The following is an 18,011-nucleotide window of genomic DNA, read 5'->3' as shown; positions in this document are numbered from 1 at the left end:
GCCTCTCAAAGTGCTGGGATTACAGACGTGAGCCACCGCACCCGGCCTCTGTTATTATTATTGGTCTATCACCCACCTACCCATTTGCCCTCTATCTGCCTGCCCTTGTTGAGTGCCCAGCACTATGGCAGGCTCGCGGTAGCCCCGTGCATGGCCCAGTGAAGACTGTGTGGGTCCCAGGTGCTGAAGGAGAAGAAGCAGGCTACGGAGCGGCTGGTGTCACTGTCGGCCCAGAGTGAGAAGCGACTGCAGGAGCTCGAGCGGAACGTGCAGCTCATGCGGCAGCAGCAGGGACAGCTGCAGAGGCGGCTTCGCGAGGAGACGGAGCAGAAGCGGCGCCTGGAGGCAGAAATGAGCAAGCGGCAGCACCGCGTCAAGGTCAGGCTCACGGCAGGGTGGGGACCTTCTGTCCAGGCCAATAGGCTGAGCTGGCGGCCCAGCCAGGGGAGCCCAGGCAGGGTTTGCAACCCACAGCCACGTGACCTTAGAAAGCAGGTCACTTAGCCTGAGTCTGTTTTTTCATCTGAAAATGTGGAATGTTATAGGAAACTCAAGGCCAGGGTGAGACTTCAGTGAGATGAGGTATATGAGGTGACTGGCATCTTGTGGGGCTTATTTCTAAGTGTTTGCGTCTATTTGCCGGTCTCCAGGGAGATTTGTGTGGGATGGGTCTGGGGGACACTTCGCAGGGCCCTCTTGGGAGTGGGCAGGCACTCCTGGGGGCTTTGGGATCGGTGGCAGGCTCTGGTAAGATGCTGGCACCATAAACAGCCCTGCCCACTGAGCTCCTCACCCAGGAGCTGGAGCTGAAGCATGAGCAACAGCAGAAGATCCTGAAGATTAAGACGGAAGAGATCGCGGCATTCCAGAGGAAGAGGCGCAGTGGCAGCAACGGCTCTGTGGTCAGCCTGGAACAGCAGCAGGTGGGGCCAGGCTGTGTCCGCACCCAGGGCTCCCCTGGGGGCTGGCTGGTGGGTGCACCTTTCTCCCCAGTGAACCTCGAGTGGCGGCTGACACAGCCAGAGGTGGGCCCTGAGTTCCCTCCCTCCCTCCCTACTTTTCCTTAGAAGATTGAGGAGCAGAAGAAGTGGCTGGACCAGGAGATGGAGAAGGTGCTACAGCAGCGGCGGGCGCTGGAGGAGCTGGGGGAGGAGCTCCACAAGCGGGAGGCCATCCTGGCCAAGAAGGAGGCCCTGATGCAGGAGAAGACGGGGCTGGAGAGCAAGCGCCTGAGATCCAGCCAGGTGAGGCCCTGCCAGGAGAGATCCTGCCAGGTGAGGTCCAGTGAAGTGAGGTCCAGCCAGGACAGATCTTGCCAGGTGAGCTCCTGCCAAGTAAGTTTCTGCCAGGTGAGGTCTAGCAAAGTGAGGTCCTTCCAAGTGATAAACCTGCCAGGTGATGTCCCTGCCAGGCGAGGTCTAGACAGGAGAGTTTCTTCTAGGTGGTATCTCTGCCAGGTAAGTTCCAGACAGAGGAAGCTCTGTCCTACTGGGTTCTATCCTGTGCATCCCCATGAGCTGTAGGGCTTCAAGATATTTATGACACAGTTACAGATGTATGCATAGAAGAACCTCTCTTAAGTGTCCATCCTCCAATTCATTTCACTCATTAACCCCCTCCTCAGGGCCTGTGCAGGAAGAATGAGGAGGCGCAGGTATAGGAAGGTGGTATAGCCAAATAGAAAGAGACTTCTCCGCCTGGCATCATTACTCCATCTAGAATAGGAAGGTCAGCTTCTGAGCCACAGCGTTGTCTTCTGTCAGATGGGATCATAATGTTACCATGATGGCTGGAGGGGGATGGCCGTCATTGATGCAGGGCCTGTTCCAGTACAGGGGCTTGGGCCACACGCCCAGTGTCCTAGGCCCGCAGAGGCCAGGAGCCTTGCTCCTGCCAGCACGCATCACTCTGATGTCCAGGAGGATCCAGGGTCCTACTGGAATGATCCGTAACTTCCCTCCGCCAGGAGAGCCCTCACTTCCTCCCGCATCTGGCTCCCAGAAAGGCCTTTAGGGCTTGGCCAATTCCTATCACTGTCCAGTCCGGTCATCTCAGTGACAGATCATTCCTCCCACCCCTACCCATTGCCTGTTCTTGCCAGGAGGGCCACGTCCCTCTGGTCCTTATCCTCCTCTCGCCATCTCTGAGTGCCCCTCTGCAAATGCTCTGGTCCCTTTAGCCCCGCCTCCTGGAGTCTCTGTGAACTAAGTCTGGTCTCCCTGCTGAGCAGAACATTTGGAGTGTTGGTTTCTTGAGGGAAGGACGCAAGTCCTCCTTAACATCCGGCCCTTTCTGTCCCCCCTGTGAGGACAGTGCCTGTTCCTTCTCTAATCCCTGGTGATTCTGCCCCCAGGCCCTCAACGAGGACATCGTGCGAGTGTCCAGCCGGCTGGAGCACCTGGAGAAGGAGCTGTCCGAGAAGAGCGGGCAGCTGCGGCAGGGCAGCGCCCAGAGCCAGCAGCAGATCCGCGGGGAGATCGACAGCCTGCGCCAGGAGAAGGACTCGCTGCTCAAGCAGCGCCTGGAGATCGACGGCAAGCTGAGGCAGGGGAGTCTGCTGTCCCCCGAGGTACCCTGCGGCCCCATGGCTCAGCCCCTTGGTGCCATTGTATGCCTGTCTGTCTGCTCTCCTCAGCCCTTGCTCCAGCCCTCTGCGGGTGCTGGGCCTTGCTGTCGGCAGACCCAAGTTTTCACTGTTAGGTGGAGGTGGGGGCTGGGGAGGGCTGGCCTGGCCCTTCTGCCCCTGCTTTGGCCTCATTGGCTGGGACACAGGGGCCAGGCTGTGCTGACCTCTCAGCTCTCTTCTGGCTGGAGCCTGGACTCCTGTTCTGTGCTGCATTCGAGTACCTGCCCACACGTCTCGGCTTCGTGTGTGGAGTGTCAGGCGCATACTCAGTGCACCTCATGCCCACACATCTGTGTTCCCTGAGCAGAGAGAAAGCCTATGTGACTATAGTCATGTGCTGTGTGACATTTCAGTGAATGACAGCTCATACAACAATGGTGCTCCCAGAAAATTATAACACCGCATTTTTACTGTGCGTTTTCTATGTTTAGATACACAAATACTCACCATGGTTAACAACTGCCTACAGTATTCAGTACAGTCACATGCTGTCCAGGCTTGTAGCCTAGGTGTGTGGTGGGCTATACCATCTAGGTTTGTGTGAGTATATTCTGATGTTTGCACGACGTCGAAAACGCCTAATGATGCATTTCTTAGAACGTATCCCCATCTGTAGAAGCTTACCCAGCAGACACCGTGGTGCCTCCGTGGCTGTCCCAACCATGCCTTTTGTTTGGTTAGGGTGCTCTGAACTTCCTGAATGTAGATCATTCACAGAGGCTTGCAGTTGAGCAGGCCACCTCTGAGCAGTGCCCCCAGCTCACCCTGGGGTTGGGGCTGTGACAGTGAGCAGGGGGCACCTCTCTCGATGGGCTGACTTGGCCCTTGGGACGAGGGGACCCTTAAGGCCCAGTTGTGGCTACGTGTTGGCTGTTGCATGTCTGCCCAGGACTTCAGCATTCAGGCAGTGGGTGCTGTTCCTCCACGCGTGCCCGTCTCTGCAGGAGGAGCGGACGCTGTTCCAGTTGGATGAGGCCATCGAGGCCCTGGATGCTGCCATTGAGTATAAGAATGAGGCCATCACATGCCGCCAGCGGGTGCTTCGGGCCTCAGCCTCGTTGCTGTCCCAGTGCGAGATGAACCTCATGGCCAAGCTCAGCTACCTCTCATCCTCAGAGACCAGAGCCCTCCTCTGCAAGTATTTTGACAAGGTGGGCCAGCAGCCCATGGCCCCCCAGCTCCTCCTCAGCGGCACGTGTGGGGAGGTGTCTCATGGCAGCTGCTCCAGCGGATATCCCGTTTCCTCCCAGACTGGGGGACAGAATCAGGACCAACTCATCTGCAGGGCCGCCTGACCTTAAAGCCTATTTTACTTGTGAAACTAAGACCCAGTTTCCTACCCGCCCCCCACTTCTGCTCTGATTGGCTAACCTCAGGGTGGTCCATGGCCACAATAGTAGCTCTCAGTAGGGGAAGTTTTTGCCCTTTTGTGACATTTGGCCATGGCTGGAGATACTTTTGGTTGTCACAGTGGTGGGGGTGGAGGCCAGGGATGTTACTAAACATCCTATAACACACAGGACAGGCCCCCACAACCAAGAATTATCTGGTCCCAGATGTCCATAGTGCTGAGGTTGGTCTAGATGAAATCCCACAACTTGACGCTCTGCCCAGCTCCATAGTGTGTGGCTAGGAAAGGGTTTGTGGCAGAGATAGCAGATAAGGTGAGAGCCAGCTCTGATCGTTGGAAGATAACTAGAGCACTGCTGAGGTGTCTGAGGCTGAGTCTTGGCTCAGCAGGGAAGACCCTGGTGATTTCTTAGTGCCGTGGTGGCAAGTGTGCCAATACTGTGTCTGTGATTGAGGATTAGCTGGATGAAGAGGGGTCATGATGAGGGCTGAGCCTGGCTGGGTCTTGGGACAGGTGGTGACGCTCCGAGAGGAGCAGCACCAGCAGCAGATTGCCTTCTCGGAACTGGAGATGCAGCTGGAGGAGCAGCAGAGGCTGGTGTACTGGCTGGAGGTGGCCCTGGAGCGGCAGCGCCTGGAGATGGACCGCCAGCTGACCCTGCAGCAGAAGGAGCACGAGCAGAACATGCAGCTGCTCCTGCAGCAGAGTCGAGGTGAGCAGCCCGGCCCATGGCTCACAACCCCGGCCCCCTCCATCCCCCCCACCCCCATCTTCCCCGCCCTGCACCCCCCTCCCTCCCCCCACCGCCCCTGCCACTCACAGCCCCTGCACCTACAGCCCTGGTGGCCCGGCCCACCGCTCACAACCCCGGCCCCCACCCAGCCCACAGCCCCCACCCCCACAGCCCTGGCCGCCTGCCCCGCCTGCAGCCCTCACCACCCTCTCCTCGACCTTTCCACTCTAGACCACCTCGGTGAAGGGTTAGCAGACAGCAGGAGGCAGTATGAGGCCCGGATTCAAGCTCTGGAGAAGGAACTGGGCCGTTACATGTGGATAAACCAGGAACTGAAACAGAAGCTCGGCGGTGTGAACGCTGTAGGCCACAGCAGGGGTAACTCCTCGTCGCGCTCTGAAGTCAGACCTGTTCCCTTTCTTTGGGGAAAGCTTAGAGACCACTCTCCCTCGAGCCTTTATTGGCTCAATTCACAGGTTGCTTATTGTGCTGGGGCACTGGGGAGCTAGGGCTTCGGGAAGGTGTTGCCACCTGTTTCTGATGAGGACACGTTACTCTCCATGACAGGTGGGGAGAAGAGGAGCCTGTGCTCGGAGGGCAGACAGGCTCCTGGAAATGAAGATGAGCTCCACCTGGCACCCGAGCTTCTCTGGCTGTCCCCCCTCACTGAGGGGGCCCCCCGCACCCGGGAGGAGACGCGGGACTTGGTCCACGCTCCGTTACCCTTGACCTGGAAACGCTCGAGCCTGTGTGGTGAGGAGCAGGGGTCCCCCGAGGAACTGAGGCAGCGGGAGGCGGCTGAGCCCCTGGTGGGGCGGGTGCTTCCTGTGGGTGAGGCAGGCCTGCCCTGGAACTTTGGGCCTTTGTCCAAGCCCCGGCGGGAACTGCGACGAGCCAGCCCGGGGATGATTGATGTCCGGAAAAACCCCCTGTAAGCCCTCGGGGCAGACCCTGCCTTGGAGGGAGACTCCGAGCCTGCTGAAAGGGGCAGCTGCCTGTTTTGCTTCTGTGAAGGGCAGTCCTTACCGCACACCCTAAATCCAGGCCCTCATCTGTACCCTCACTGGGATCAACAAATTTGGGCCATGGCCCAAAAGAACTGGACCCTCATTTAACAAAATAATATGCAAATTCCCACCACTTACTTCCATGAAGCTGTGGTACCCAATTGCCGCCTTGTGTCTTGCTCGAATCTCAGGACAATTCTGGTTTCAGGCGTAAATGGATGTGCTTGTAGTTCAGGGGTTTGGCCAAGAATCATCACGAAAGGGTCGGTGGTAACCAGGTTGTGGTTTAAATGGTCTTATGTATATAGGGGAAACTGGGAGACTTTAGGATCTTAAAAAACCATTTAATAAAAAAAAATCTTTGAAGGGACAAATGGGAAGTTTTCACTTAGAGTTTGATTTACAAGACAATAGGAGGAATCAGATTTGGGAACACAACAGGCTTGAACACTTTCTGGAGACTGAGAGACAGTTCAGAGTCAGCCCTCACCGTTAGCCAGACCCCTGGCCAGGACCCGCAGCAGGCTGGTCCAGCGGGTCTGTGGGGCACTCCTGTGGGGCACTCTTGGTGGAAACGATGAGCCAGGTGATGGTCTCCCCAGGAGTGGGCAATGGGTGAGGCCTGAGCCCTGAACTGGCTGGCTCTTGGACAGTCCTTGAAAATGTGGCTGCTCCAGAAGCCACTCAAGCTGGACCATGGTCACAGTTAACCTCAGGCCCAACATTAAACAAAAATGTACTGAGTGCTCAGTCACTAGAGATGATTTTACTGTTACACAGGGAAGGCAAAAAATAGCTTCCACTGCCCAATGCACTCTTCAGTTTCACGTATATGGCTTCACAGTTTACAAAGCGCTGCCTGTGTCGCAGCAGCCCAGCCTTACAGCAGCTCAAGGGACCCCAGGGAGGGCGCCTTTCTCCATTTGCATAAATGAGGCAGAGTGGCCCCCTGACTTGCCAAGGTCATGGTTGGGGTGAGGCTGGAATGGGATTCCTTGTCTGGGTTCCTGACTCCCAGGCTGCCTGAGTTATAGCACCAATCACATTGCCATCCACCTCTCCTCCTGCAACTTCCCCAACAAGGGGCAGGGCCAGGAGATGGATTGGATCCATAAGGGGAATTAGAAAACCCTAAGGCATTCTAATGGCAATCTGAACACTGACCATGGCAAAAGAGGCTTGGGACCAGGCATCCAACTTCTTTATGTCCACAGGGTCCTGGCTGACTCCTTGATCTTTTGGGCTCAGTAATGTTTGTGGCTATAAGTCCTCCAGCCAGGTTCCCATGAGCTTCTTCCGTGTATAAGTTCTGCTGATGGGGCGCCTCCTGGAGAAAGCGCGACTGAAAGGAGAGTCTTCTACAGTGGAGGGAAGAACATCCACATCCTCATCTAGAAGAAGGTAGAAAGGCTTAGCATGCAGGAGTCACAGAGGACCGAACTGAAAAAAATTGGCTTAAATTGCAGAGGGTTACACACAAAAACAGACTTTAAGAAAATCAGCACTGCTTGGAGGTTCGCTTATCCTACAGAAATGGTACCTACACTTTTTAGAAGGACCCTGCCCTTAACAGCTATGCACCGTGCTGGCAGCAAGAAGCAGCTCTGAAAATGCAAAGTACCTGTGGTTTGAATTCCCTCAGGTTAATATCCTGTATTCTTTCTAGGTCTCAGATCTCTGGGGTTATGCTGTTTTGCATGATTTATATCATGGTCTTGAGGGAACTGAACCACCAAAGGCCCCCTCCTCCTGCACTCCCCCTTTGATTCTAGCAGCAGAAGGCAACATTGCTAACCAGGGCAGTTAACAGGCCAAATCCTTGTCTTTTGGGAATAGGATTTGGAAGGGGAAGGGGAATCCTAGAGCCTGCAGGCTGATTATAACTACAGTCAGTACTGTGTCCCACCGAATATACAGAACATGCGGATAAACCCGCTGTGGGGAACTAGCTCTAAACAGGCCTATCACTCGTGCTGCTCAGAACGCCTTCCTGTTCAGATTCTTAGACTGCAGATGAGCAGCATGTTGCGGCAAGCCCACGACTGTCAACATTTTCAGGAGGACCGAGGAATTTTAGCAGGATTTTGAGGGGCTTCTGTTCACATGCACACAAGTTCTAATGTGGAGTTTCTCTGGGAAGGGCACACATGACGCTGTAGGCGCGAAGTCACCTATCCCACACTTGGCACTCCCTGGGGCTCCTCTAGAATCGAGCTGCCTGGCAACCCTGGTGAATTCAGACAGTCTGTCACAGGAAAGGGTCCTAGACCTTCAACAAACATTACCTCTGGGGTCTTTGCTCTGAGAGGAAGGTGTTTTCCCCTGGAACAGCAGCGGAGACTGGGTCAGAGCCTGGAGGGCACTGGCAGAGAGGCAGCTCCGCACGGCACAGCTGGGAGGTGGGGTGGAGCCTAAAGAGATCCCACATAGTAAGAGCAGCGTCCCCAGACCCCCAACCGGGAAGCCCAGGCCTCCCAAGAAGCAACTCCCAAGTGCCTCCTTGTCAAGCACTCTGACCAAAAGAAACCATGAGGAAACTGGGTTTCAAAAACGAACTCACCGGAAACAAACACCTCTTCGTCTCCCGTGGAGGGTAGCTGCCATGCACTCCAACTTGGAGACCCCTCTTTACTCTTACTAACTTCTGAATCTTCTCTCAGGTCACAGATCCTTTTGGCTCCACGGTCAGCTTCTTCCTTGGCCAACAGGACTCTCTTCCTGGAACTCAACCCAAACTGTCCCCAGGAAGAGGCTTCCTCGGCCTTAGGCATGCTGTTCCTGGGAGGCGACTGGTCTGGGAGCTGGCACACTCCCTCGAGCTCAAAATCCTCCAAGATGGGCGTCCTGTGGATGCTGAGTTCAAGGCCGTGGTCCTTGCCCTCTGACTCAAGCAGTGACAGGCTCCCAGGAAGGTCTGCACCGACCTCGCCCCTCCCGGAAGAGGAGCCGGCGCCACAGCCCACCGCCCTCTTCCTCCTGGGCCAGTCTTTAATTATGTCTGGAGTTGTCTTCCCACTGTGCTTGGGGGATGGTGTCCAAGGAACCCCATCTGTTTGAAATGGAGAGGGGGTACTAGAAGGGCCGTGGGTGGGGGTACAGGCCTGGCAGATGTAGGTTTGCCCCCTGCTCTTGCCAGGTGTGCTGTGGGAGAGGCGGGGGCAGGGGGGTGACACATAGGTGGGTTCAGGTTTGCTTAAGGACCTGCTGGCCCTGGGCATGCTGAGAGCAGGGAGGAAGCTCTCTTCTCCCAGAGAGCTCTCCTCCTTGCTGAGGGGCTCAGCCTCTAATGAAGAGCTGGGGTCTATCTTCTTAATTCGAAGTTTGGGAAGGCCAGAAGCTTGCATCTCCAGCTCAACCTCATAGGTCTGTGGGCTGGCAGAGTCTGTGGAATGCCAAGCTGATGCTGGCAGGTTGTCTAGTTGTGCCGAAGCCTGGCACTGTCTCCCATCTGTGGTACAGTGCACGTCACGGGAAGGCATCAGAGGAGAGCCAGGCCCACAGGAAGGAGGAGATGGGGGAATCCCAGGGTGAGACAGAGAAGACTTCTCAGCATCTGCTGTCCTTAGCCCCTCACCCTCTTCCACTGATAAGACGTTACTTTTCAAGTCACCAATGCCATGGTGTTCGGCTTCACTGAGGAGAGTGACATGCTCTGTGTCACTTGTAATGAGCAGAGGAGAGGATGCATGCCAATCACTCCTGAGACCAGGGCCTGGGTAGCCCCGTCTTTCAGGAGGAGACTGAGGAGAGAGGCTCAGTCCCTTCTGGTCATCTCTAGAGTCTGTGGGGGCAGCTGGGCTGTCAGCTGTGCCAACCCCAGGAGTAGCGGAGGCATCAGGCTGACACTCCACGATGCTCCTTCTGGGATCAGAGGTCTTTCTACACCGTTTCCCAACTTTAGAAGGGGGTGGAGGAGGGACGGTGTCCAATGTAGCTCTCTGTGAGAGTTCAGGGGGAGTTGAGGGAACAGGGCAGGAGAGAGATGCAGCTACGCTGGGTGACATCTGGGGCTCTTTCTGATCCAGTTCTCCTGGGGAAGGACACTCTATTTTAGATTTCCTAAATGGACTCTTCTTGGAGACATCACATAAAGGAGAGGTAAACAGTTTCTTTGGCGTAACAGGTGGGGAAGAAGTCACAGTTGAATTCCCTGGTCTTTTTGGAGTTTTGATAGCTTTATCCTTTAGTTTCTGGGCTGGTTCCTCTGCCCGAGCAGCTCTGAGGACATGGGGCTGTTGGTGTGTTTGATTCTGAGGCGTGCCCATGAAGGCTGCTGCTCTCGGAGGTGTTCTGAGAGGGTCTCTGATGGGAGTGAGACACTCTCTCCTGGGCTGGGCAGTCGATGAAGTTGGAGGGGCTGGACAGGAGGGGCTTTCTGGACTGGAATTCACTGAATGTGGCCAAGTACAGTTTGGCAAAAACCCAGGCGGCTGAGTACCTTGCCTCTTAGGAGTTCTTGGTGTCTTCGTTTCAAGAGAGGTACCTTCTCCTGCCTGGGTATGTCGTTTTTGAGGAGTGATTTTTGAATCCAATGGTGAGTCATGGCCGGGTGAGGAGGAGTCTTTTAAGGACTCCTTAAAAGCTGCCTGCTTTGTAGGGGTCATTTTTGCAGGGGACTTCTGCAGCCTTTCTGGAGTATACAACGGAGTTTGTGGTGTATGAGAGATCCTTCTTGGTGTAGTTTTAGAAAAGCTCAGAGATTTCTGGTGACTCTTCTTGGGAGTCTGAAAAGAGAAATGCTTATTTCAGTCCTTGAATATTATAACTCATGATCTCTGAAGTGTTTTAGTAATCTCTAAGACCAAATGGGAGATTTATAGTCAGCCAAAGGAATGATCTAAAGATGGAAATCTCAAATAGTGACCCGTTTCCCTCTCCAAAACATGACTCAGATTTTACTTGTCTACTTTTTCTAGGACCAAACACTATCCAAGTTTAGTTTGTCCTAGAACAAATAATTTTAATAATCTACATATTGCTAAACCATGCTTTTTGCCTCTAATGGAATCATTCTACCACTGCAGCTACTCTCTAGCTCTTCCTTCTTTTCAGATAAGGCAGCTATTTCTGATCTTTGCCTAAAGCAGCCTCCAGGAGCCACCTCATCTGCTGCTCACCCTCATTCAACATGTGCTTACTGATCACCTGCTATGTGCCAGGCACTGTGTGTTGGGGGCATGGAATACACAGATATATAAGGTGCAGCAGCAAAGATAATGTCTCAGAAAAGACACTCCCCAATAAAAAATTTCCCTGCCTTCTTGCAAAAATACGTAGTGAAAAGCTCCAACAGGTAAGGAAATCAATGCTTATCTTTCCTACAGCCTTCCTTCATCCCGTCAGGGGACTCTCAGTCTAGCTGGCATTTCCTGTTCAGTGGGGCATACGCAGGTGAAAATACAATGTGATTGGTGCAGTGACAGGGACATGCGAGGGGCATCACAGAACACAAAGAAGGGCTGCCTAACCCAGCCTGGATCAGGTCTTCAAGCTTGGGTGTCGGCAGGGGAAGGCAAACACAGGAAAAGTGGGTGGGGTGGTGGCGGCCTGTAGGCATAGAAAACAATACTAGCAAAGGCCTGGAAGTGAAAAGCAGTGGCTGTGCAGGATGGCACCCAGCCTGATGTTGCTGGGGAGGTGGAGCGGGGAGGGGTGAGGCCAGAGGGAACAGACCACGGAAGACCCTGCCTGCCTGGGGGAGGAGACTGATCTTGGTTGTGTAGATCTATGGTTTTCAGACCCTTCTCCAGAGCTCTATGTCTTTCCCAACCTCCAAGCAATTTACTGAGTTTCCAAACAAAGGTGATTATTTTTGAACCCAAGAGTTCCACTTAGGAAAACTTAAAGCCTTGCTTTAGCGGACGGGGAGTCTATAGAGCTTTAAGCAAAGTGAACATTTTAAGCAAACTGAGAGGAATGTTTCAGAAAGATCACTCTGACCTCTGGGTGGAGGATTTCCCTTTGAGAGGGAAAAGCCTGTTGAAGTGTTCCAGGTAGACCTGAACTAGGGTAGGAATTGCAGTAGGGGAGAAGAGGGGGTGGGTACAAGAGTCAGTTTGTAGGCCGGGCGCAGTGGCTCATGCCTGTAATCCCAGCACTTTGGAAGGCTGAGGCAGGTGGATCACTTGAGGTCAGGAGTTCGAGACCAGCCTGGCCAACATGGTGAAACCCCATCTCTACTAAAAGCACAAAAATTAGTTGGGCGTTGTGGTGGGTGCCTGTAATCCTAGCTACTTAGGAGGCTGAGGCAGGAGAATCGCTTGAACTGGGAGGCAGAGGTTGCAGTGAGCTGAGATCGTGCCACTGCACTCCAGCCTGTGCAAAATAGTAAGACTCTGTCTCCAAAAAAAAAAAAAAAAAAAAAGAGTCAGTTTGTAAATAAAATGGGCAGGACTCGACTGATTGGCTATGCCTGGGGAGAGGGAAAAGGATGACTCCCAGGTTTCTAATGTTGGTGACTGGATGGAGTGGGCAATCAAACGGAAAAGATGAGTGTCACACACTCCAGAAAGGTATCTGTGCAGTATATAATATAAACAGTAGACAAAGCCAAGAGAACAGATGAGATCCTCTCTATCTCCTCCTCCACCGCCCCCACCGTGGCTTCAGTCAAACCTGCTGCTTGAAGTTCCCACGTGTCTAATAATCATTCATGTGGCTCCACCCAGTCACCTCCAATCTCTAGTATTATCTAGAGGTCACCTGCTTTCTCTTCCCTAATGGACTCTGAGTTCCTTGGCCATGTCTCTGTGTTCCAGGAGATTATATTATTTCAAACATTACAGAAACATTATACCTGGTAAGCTGCAGGTACCTCCGAATCCAAAGTGTTTCTTGAACGCTTTTTCATTCGAGCTGAACCCTTTTCTGAGGGGCTGATCATCTCAGACATTGCCCCAAAAAGAAGACTCTTGGGAGACCGAATACTTTGGACTGGAGAATTTTCTCTTTGGTCTGCAAGTCAAAAACAGCAACAATATTTAATTCTTTCTCAATTCCTGTTCTTCCAATACTATTAAAACAGCCAGCCACGCATGGTGGCTCACGCCTGTAATCCCAGCACTTTGGGAGGCCGAGACAGGTGGATGGTCTGAGGTCAGGAGTTCGAGACCAGCCTGGCCAACATAGCGAAACACCATCTCTACTGAAAATACAAAAAATTAGCTGGGCGTGGTGGCAGGGGCCTGTAATCCCAGCTACTCAGGAGGCTGAGGCAGAAGAATTGCTTGAACCCAGGAGGTGGAGGTTGCAGTGAGACGACATTGCACCATTGCACTCCAGCCTGGGCAACAAGAGCACAACTCCATCTCAAAAACAAACAAACAAGGCCGGGCGCAGTGGCTCACGCCTGTAATCCCAGCACTTTGGGAGGCTGAGGCGGGCAGATCACTAAGTCGGAGATCGAGACTATCCTGGCTAACACAGTGAAACCTGTCTCTACTAAAAATACAAAAAATTTAGCTGGGCGTGGTGGCGGGCGCCTGTAGTCCCAGCTACTCAGGAGGCTGAGGCAGGAGAATGGCATGAACCCGGGAGGCAGAGCTTGCAGTGAGCCAAGATTGCGCCACTGCACTCCAGCCTGGGCAACAGAGTGAGACTCCATCTCAAAAAACAAACAAACAAACAAACAAAACATAAGAAAAACCCAGCCAGTTCATAAAAGAAAGAAGGCAACAATTTTTGAGAGCAACTCGGGAAAATCCCACCTATTTATGTCAGCAACTACAACAACTGCTGCCTTTTTTAATTTTAGTAAGACGGCATATTAACCCCAGCTCCTATGTTAGAAAATGTAGACAACTGAACTACTTTAATTTGTAAATATAAAAACACATATCTGGCTGGGTGTGGTGGCTCACACTTGTAATCCCAGCACTTTGGGAGGCCGAGGCAGATGGATCACTTGAGCCCAGCAGTTCAAGACCAGCCTGGGCAACATGGTGAAACCCAGTCTTTACTAAAAACAAAAAATCAGCTGGGCGTGGTGGTGCATGCCTGTAGTCCCACCTCCCTGGGAGGCTAAGGTGGGAGGATCACCTGAGCCTGGGAGGTTGAGGCTACAGTGAGCTGTGTTCGTGCCACTGCACTCCAGCCTGGGTGACAGAGTGAGACCTTGTCTCAAAAAAAGATAAAATAAGAAACACAAATCTATTAGCAAGCTAACCATGGATAGAAGAATGAAGAACGTAAACACAGATATCACCTTCCACCTAAGATAATGATGTGTAGGTTCTGTCCTTATGGGAAATTATGGGTAGCTTCCTCTTGAATGAATGAGCTACCTATAATGATAGCATGGATGACCAGTTGTAGGAGTCCTAGGGATGACTGATTACAAAGTCATGGACTGTCCATCTAGCCATCACCCTGAACCTCAACTAGACATACCTATTCTACTTCTCCAATGTCAAGAAAGAAAATGTCAAATTTCTTGCTTCTTTTCCCAAAAACACTTCTCACCAAGTCAGCACGGACTTGTGAAGGCAGAGGGGCCCGTATGTTACCTGACTTATCTTGCTGGAAAGAGTGGACTCTTTGCACACTTCGAGACTTCGGCTGAGACACAGAATAGAAGGAGGCAGAATGTGTCCTGCTAAATGACAACTGCTTGATTCGAGGACTTCGTCTCAGACTTATTTCTGTAAAATCAGAACCACAGTAAGTAACCAAAGACAACTACAAGCTTGACATTTTCTCATGTTGTCCAAAACCGGGCAAAATTTACATAGTACCACATATAAGATGGAAATTCAGCAAGCTATTAGCTTTAAGAGACTTCTGAAGTGTCTCTTAACAAACTAAGAGGGGTTTGATACATGGTCCCAACAAGGTATTAAAAAAACACTGACCCACTAGACTATTACCTTCAGAAGTCTTATTTACTGCCACCTTAAGAATGGTGTAGCCAGCCTGACCAACAAGGTGAAACCCTGTCTCTACTAAAAATACAAAAATTAGCCAGGTATGGTGGTGGGTGCCTATAACCCCAGCTACTTGGGAGGCTGTGGCAGGAGAATCGCTTGAACCTGGGAGGTGGAGGTTGCAGTGAGCGGAGAGCATGCCAGTGCACTCCAGCCTGGGCGACAGAGCAAGAGTCTGTCTCACCAAAAAAAAAAAAAAAAAAAGAAGAATGGTGTAGGGCGAAAACAAGTATTTATGTTAGGTTTCGTATGTATATGTTACATGCATTTATATAGAAATAATAGCAGTAAGAGTATATGCTAAAATGTTAGAGTATTTCTGAGTTGTGGAATTACCAAGTGCTTTAAAATTTTTGGCTTCATGTTTCCTGTTTTTTCCACAATAAATGTGAATTACTTGAGCAACTTAGAAGTTAGTTTTTTAAAACCCCTCCTTCATCATGTATACTTTTATTATTTTATTTTTTAGAGACATGGTCTTGCTCTGTCGCTAGGCTGGAGTGCAGAGGCACGATCATAGCTCACTGCAGCCTTGAACTCCAGAGCTCAAGAGATCCTCTCACCTCAGCCTCCCGAGTAGCTGGGACCATAGGAGTATGCCAACATGACCAGCTGATTTTTTAAATTTTTTATAGACACAGCACCTCACTGTGTTGCCTAAGATGGTGTCAAACTCCTGGCCAGTGATCCTCCCCACTTGGCTTCCCAAAGTGCTGGGATTACAGGCGTGAACCACCACACCTGCTGCTCACCCTCATTCAACATGTGCTTACTGATCACCTGCTATGTGCCAGGCACTGTGTGTTGGGGGCACGGAATACACAGATACATAAGGGGCAGCAGCAAAGATAATGTCTCAGAAAAGACACTCCCCAATAAAAAATTTCCCTGCCTTCTTGAAAAAATATGTAGTGAAAAGCTCCAACAAAGTTATATATACTTTTAAAATAAGTCATAGCACTTTGTATAACACAGTTTAGCCCTCATCCTGAATTTCATATCTGTTGTGCAAAAATATTTCTTTTCCAGAATTCTCTCAGTACCTTCTATGCAGAAGAACATTCACTTATAAATATTTACTGAGCTGCATTGTGGACTCAGAGCCATCACAATTTCTGTAAAATATCTTAGGATATGCCAAGTAACAATACATACAGAAAGGTTTTCATAGAAGCTGGGTAGATTGCATTAAAAACAAAAAGAGATAACACTCACCATCTCCTTTTTCAGGGGACTCTTCAACAACACCAATATCAGGACCAGGATCAGAGGACCTCGAGGAACCACATGCACAAGGATTACTCCATACCACTTGTAATTAACACTTATTAAGGAGACAGGCAGCTTCTCACTTAACAAGATCACAAAGATCACAGGGTCTGATAACACCAGTGCTGGTAAAGGGCTCTCATACGTGATTATTGTCAAGAGGGAGGCTGGCCACAGTGTCTCACGCCTGTAATCCCAGCACCTTAGGAGGCTAAGGCGGGCGGATCACTTGAGGTCAGGAGTTCGAGACCAGTCTGGCCAATATGGTGAAACCCCGACTCTATTAAAAATACAAAAATTAGCTGGGCGTGGTGGCATGCGCCTGTAGTCCCAGCTACTTGGGAGGCTGAGGCAAGAGAATCGCTTGAACCCGGGAGGCAGACGTTGCAGTGAGCCAGGATCGCGCCACTGCACTCCAGCCTGGCGACAGAGCTAGACTCTGTCTCAAAAAAAAAAAAAAAAAAAAAGATAGCTGGGTGCAGTGGCACACACCTGTAGTTCAGCTACTCTGGAGGCTGAGGTAGGAGAATCACTTGAACCTGGGAGGCAGAGGTTGCAGTGAGCTGGGATTGTGCCACTGCACTCCAGCCTGAGTGACAGAGTGAGATTCCTACTCAGAAAAAGAGTGAGATGGTTAGAATGTGGTTTTGTTTTGCTTTTATTTTTTGGAAAGCAATTTTACAACATCAGAATTATAAACCCCATTAATATATTAAAAAATTATACCAAACTATCAGACTATCACAGTAATGAGCAGCAACATTCAAGTTTCTGTTTAAGAGCCTTAATTTCTGCCAATGTGTCAAGGATGTTATAAAAAATTTAATTAAAAATATATATGCCTCTGACCCACCAATTTCACTTTTCGCAATTTAACCTATAAACTTCACAAGTGTGTAAAATCCATATACGAATAATGTCGAGATGGGTTTCTGACAAAATAGAAGGAGGTGTGCTTCTATTACCCTTGAAATCAAGCTAAAAACCCATGACATTATCTATACAATGAGCAGGAGACAATTCTGAAAGGCAGAGAGAAGAAGGCAGCCTGGCTGGGGACTTTGGGACCTGAGGAGGGCAGTGAGCTAGCTCCCTGGGTTTTCTGTTTGCTGCCTACACCCCTAGACTGGGTGCCAGAAAAGCTGACAACCCAGGTATACCAGGAGCAAACTACAGATGCCCCAAGGAAGGAGAGCTCTCAAGCCAAAGAACTAGGAAAGGGTCAGCCAAGCAAGACAGAAAACTTTCAGACAATAACAGCCCTACTCCAACCAATCGCTGCAGAAAAAACTGCAGCCCCACCCACACCTCTGTCAGCAAAGGCTGAGTTGGGATCCCAGACTTCCACCTTCTCTATGTTCACAGATGAATGGATTTAAAAACCGTGGAGTATCTATTCCATGGAATACTTCTCAGCAATAAAACAGGATGAACTATTGCATGCAACAACATGGATGAATCTCAAAATAATTGAGGCCAGACAAGTGTATATTTTATATGGTTCTCCTGCTCCCATGGAGAGCTTATAGAATGCTCTTTGGTTTTAAGCAACATAGTTAAGATTTAAGTCATGAAGGTCAAGAGAAGCGAAGTAGTGGCCCACAAGGCCGCTTTGAGGTGGTGTGGGTGTATGAAGAAGCCCGGATGGGGATGTCACTCACCTGCCCTTGATTTGTCTGTGCAGCAGCCTTTTGGAGATCTGCTTATGCACTGGAGTCTCGGCCACACTCTTAGTCAGCAGTTTGTGATAACCTAAAATGTAAACACAGCTTAAATCATAAATTTCATTTAACCTCATCAAGAAGCAGCAGTAAGGCCAAGGGAGCAGTTTGAACTTCTGTATGGCTTATTACCTAGCTGGAGAGGATCTTAATGGTCTTTGGGCTAAGTTCTATGGTTACAGGACTCAACATGATAGAAGTTTGTCAGCACTATTAGAGATTAAAAAATGACATAAGACAATGTAAATATAGGCTGGGCACAATGGCTCATGCCTGTAATCCCAGAACTTTGGGAGGCTAATGAGGGCGGATCACTTGAGGTCAGGAGTTCAAGACCAGCCTGGCCAACACGGTGAAAGCCTATCTCTACTAAACATACAAAA

At 50.9% G+C, this 18,011-nt stretch overlaps 2 protein-coding genes across 9 annotated transcripts in view, besides 1 other annotated feature; one reads left to right on the top strand and one right to left on the bottom strand.

Moving 5' to 3' along the window:
* Window positions 1–16,755, top strand: part of KIF7 (kinesin family member 7) — a 45,741-nt gene extending 28,986 nt beyond the window's left edge. For 6 of the 7 annotated variants that reach the window (XM_047432477.1, XM_011521531.3, XM_047432480.1 and 3 more), the window contains exons 12-19: window positions 181–378; window positions 798–923; window positions 1,068–1,244; window positions 2,354–2,569; window positions 3,571–3,777; window positions 4,491–4,689; window positions 4,942–5,088; window positions 5,278–6,087. In XM_047432477.1, the coding sequence (XP_047288433.1) occupies window positions 181–378; window positions 798–923; window positions 1,068–1,244; window positions 2,354–2,569; window positions 3,571–3,777; window positions 4,491–4,689; window positions 4,942–5,088; window positions 5,278–5,645 (1,638 nt within the window). In that variant the 3' untranslated portion in view covers window positions 5,646–6,087. Of the gene's footprint in view, window positions 1–180; window positions 379–797; window positions 924–1,067; window positions 1,245–2,353; window positions 2,570–3,570; window positions 3,778–4,490; window positions 4,690–4,941; window positions 5,089–5,277; window positions 6,088–15,868 lie in introns of those variants that run through there. The other variant, XM_047432481.1, reaches the window with a different exon arrangement.
* Window positions 4,101–5,300: an enhancer, noted in NCBI's record as "BRD4-independent group 4 enhancer chr15:90171995-90173194 (GRCh37/hg19 assembly coordinates)". NCBI's record gives its function as "activates an origin of replication core promoter dependent on BRD2, P300/CBP, MED14 and CDK7 cofactors, and independent of BRD4, by STARR-seq in HCT116 cells {active_cell/tissue: HCT116}" and the evidence as "EXISTENCE:reporter gene assay evidence [ECO:0000049][PMID:35650434]".
* Window positions 6,041–18,011, bottom strand: part of TICRR (TOPBP1 interacting checkpoint and replication regulator) — a 52,555-nt gene continuing 40,584 nt past the window's right edge. For both annotated transcript variants that reach the window (NM_152259.4, NM_001308025.1), the window contains exons 16-22: window positions 17,569–17,659; window positions 15,854–15,912; window positions 14,222–14,356; window positions 12,514–12,671; window positions 8,278–10,441; window positions 8,003–8,128; window positions 6,041–7,108 (exon numbers count right to left, since the gene is read on the bottom strand). In NM_152259.4, coding sequence (NP_689472.3) covers window positions 6,978–7,108; window positions 8,003–8,128; window positions 8,278–10,441; window positions 12,514–12,671; window positions 14,222–14,356; window positions 15,854–15,912; window positions 17,569–17,659 — 2,864 coding nt within the window. In that variant the 3' untranslated portion in view covers window positions 6,041–6,977. The remainder of the gene's footprint in view (window positions 7,109–8,002; window positions 8,129–8,277; window positions 10,442–12,513; window positions 12,672–14,221; window positions 14,357–15,853; window positions 15,913–17,568; window positions 17,660–18,011) is intronic.

This window comes from Homo sapiens, chromosome 15 (genome assembly GCF_000001405.40).
Source record: "Homo sapiens chromosome 15, GRCh38.p14 Primary Assembly".
NCBI lineage: Eukaryota > Metazoa > Chordata > Mammalia > Primates > Hominidae > Homo > Homo sapiens.
The sequence above is the reverse complement of the archived record's forward strand: the minus strand, read 5'-3'. Positions and strand labels throughout refer to the sequence as shown.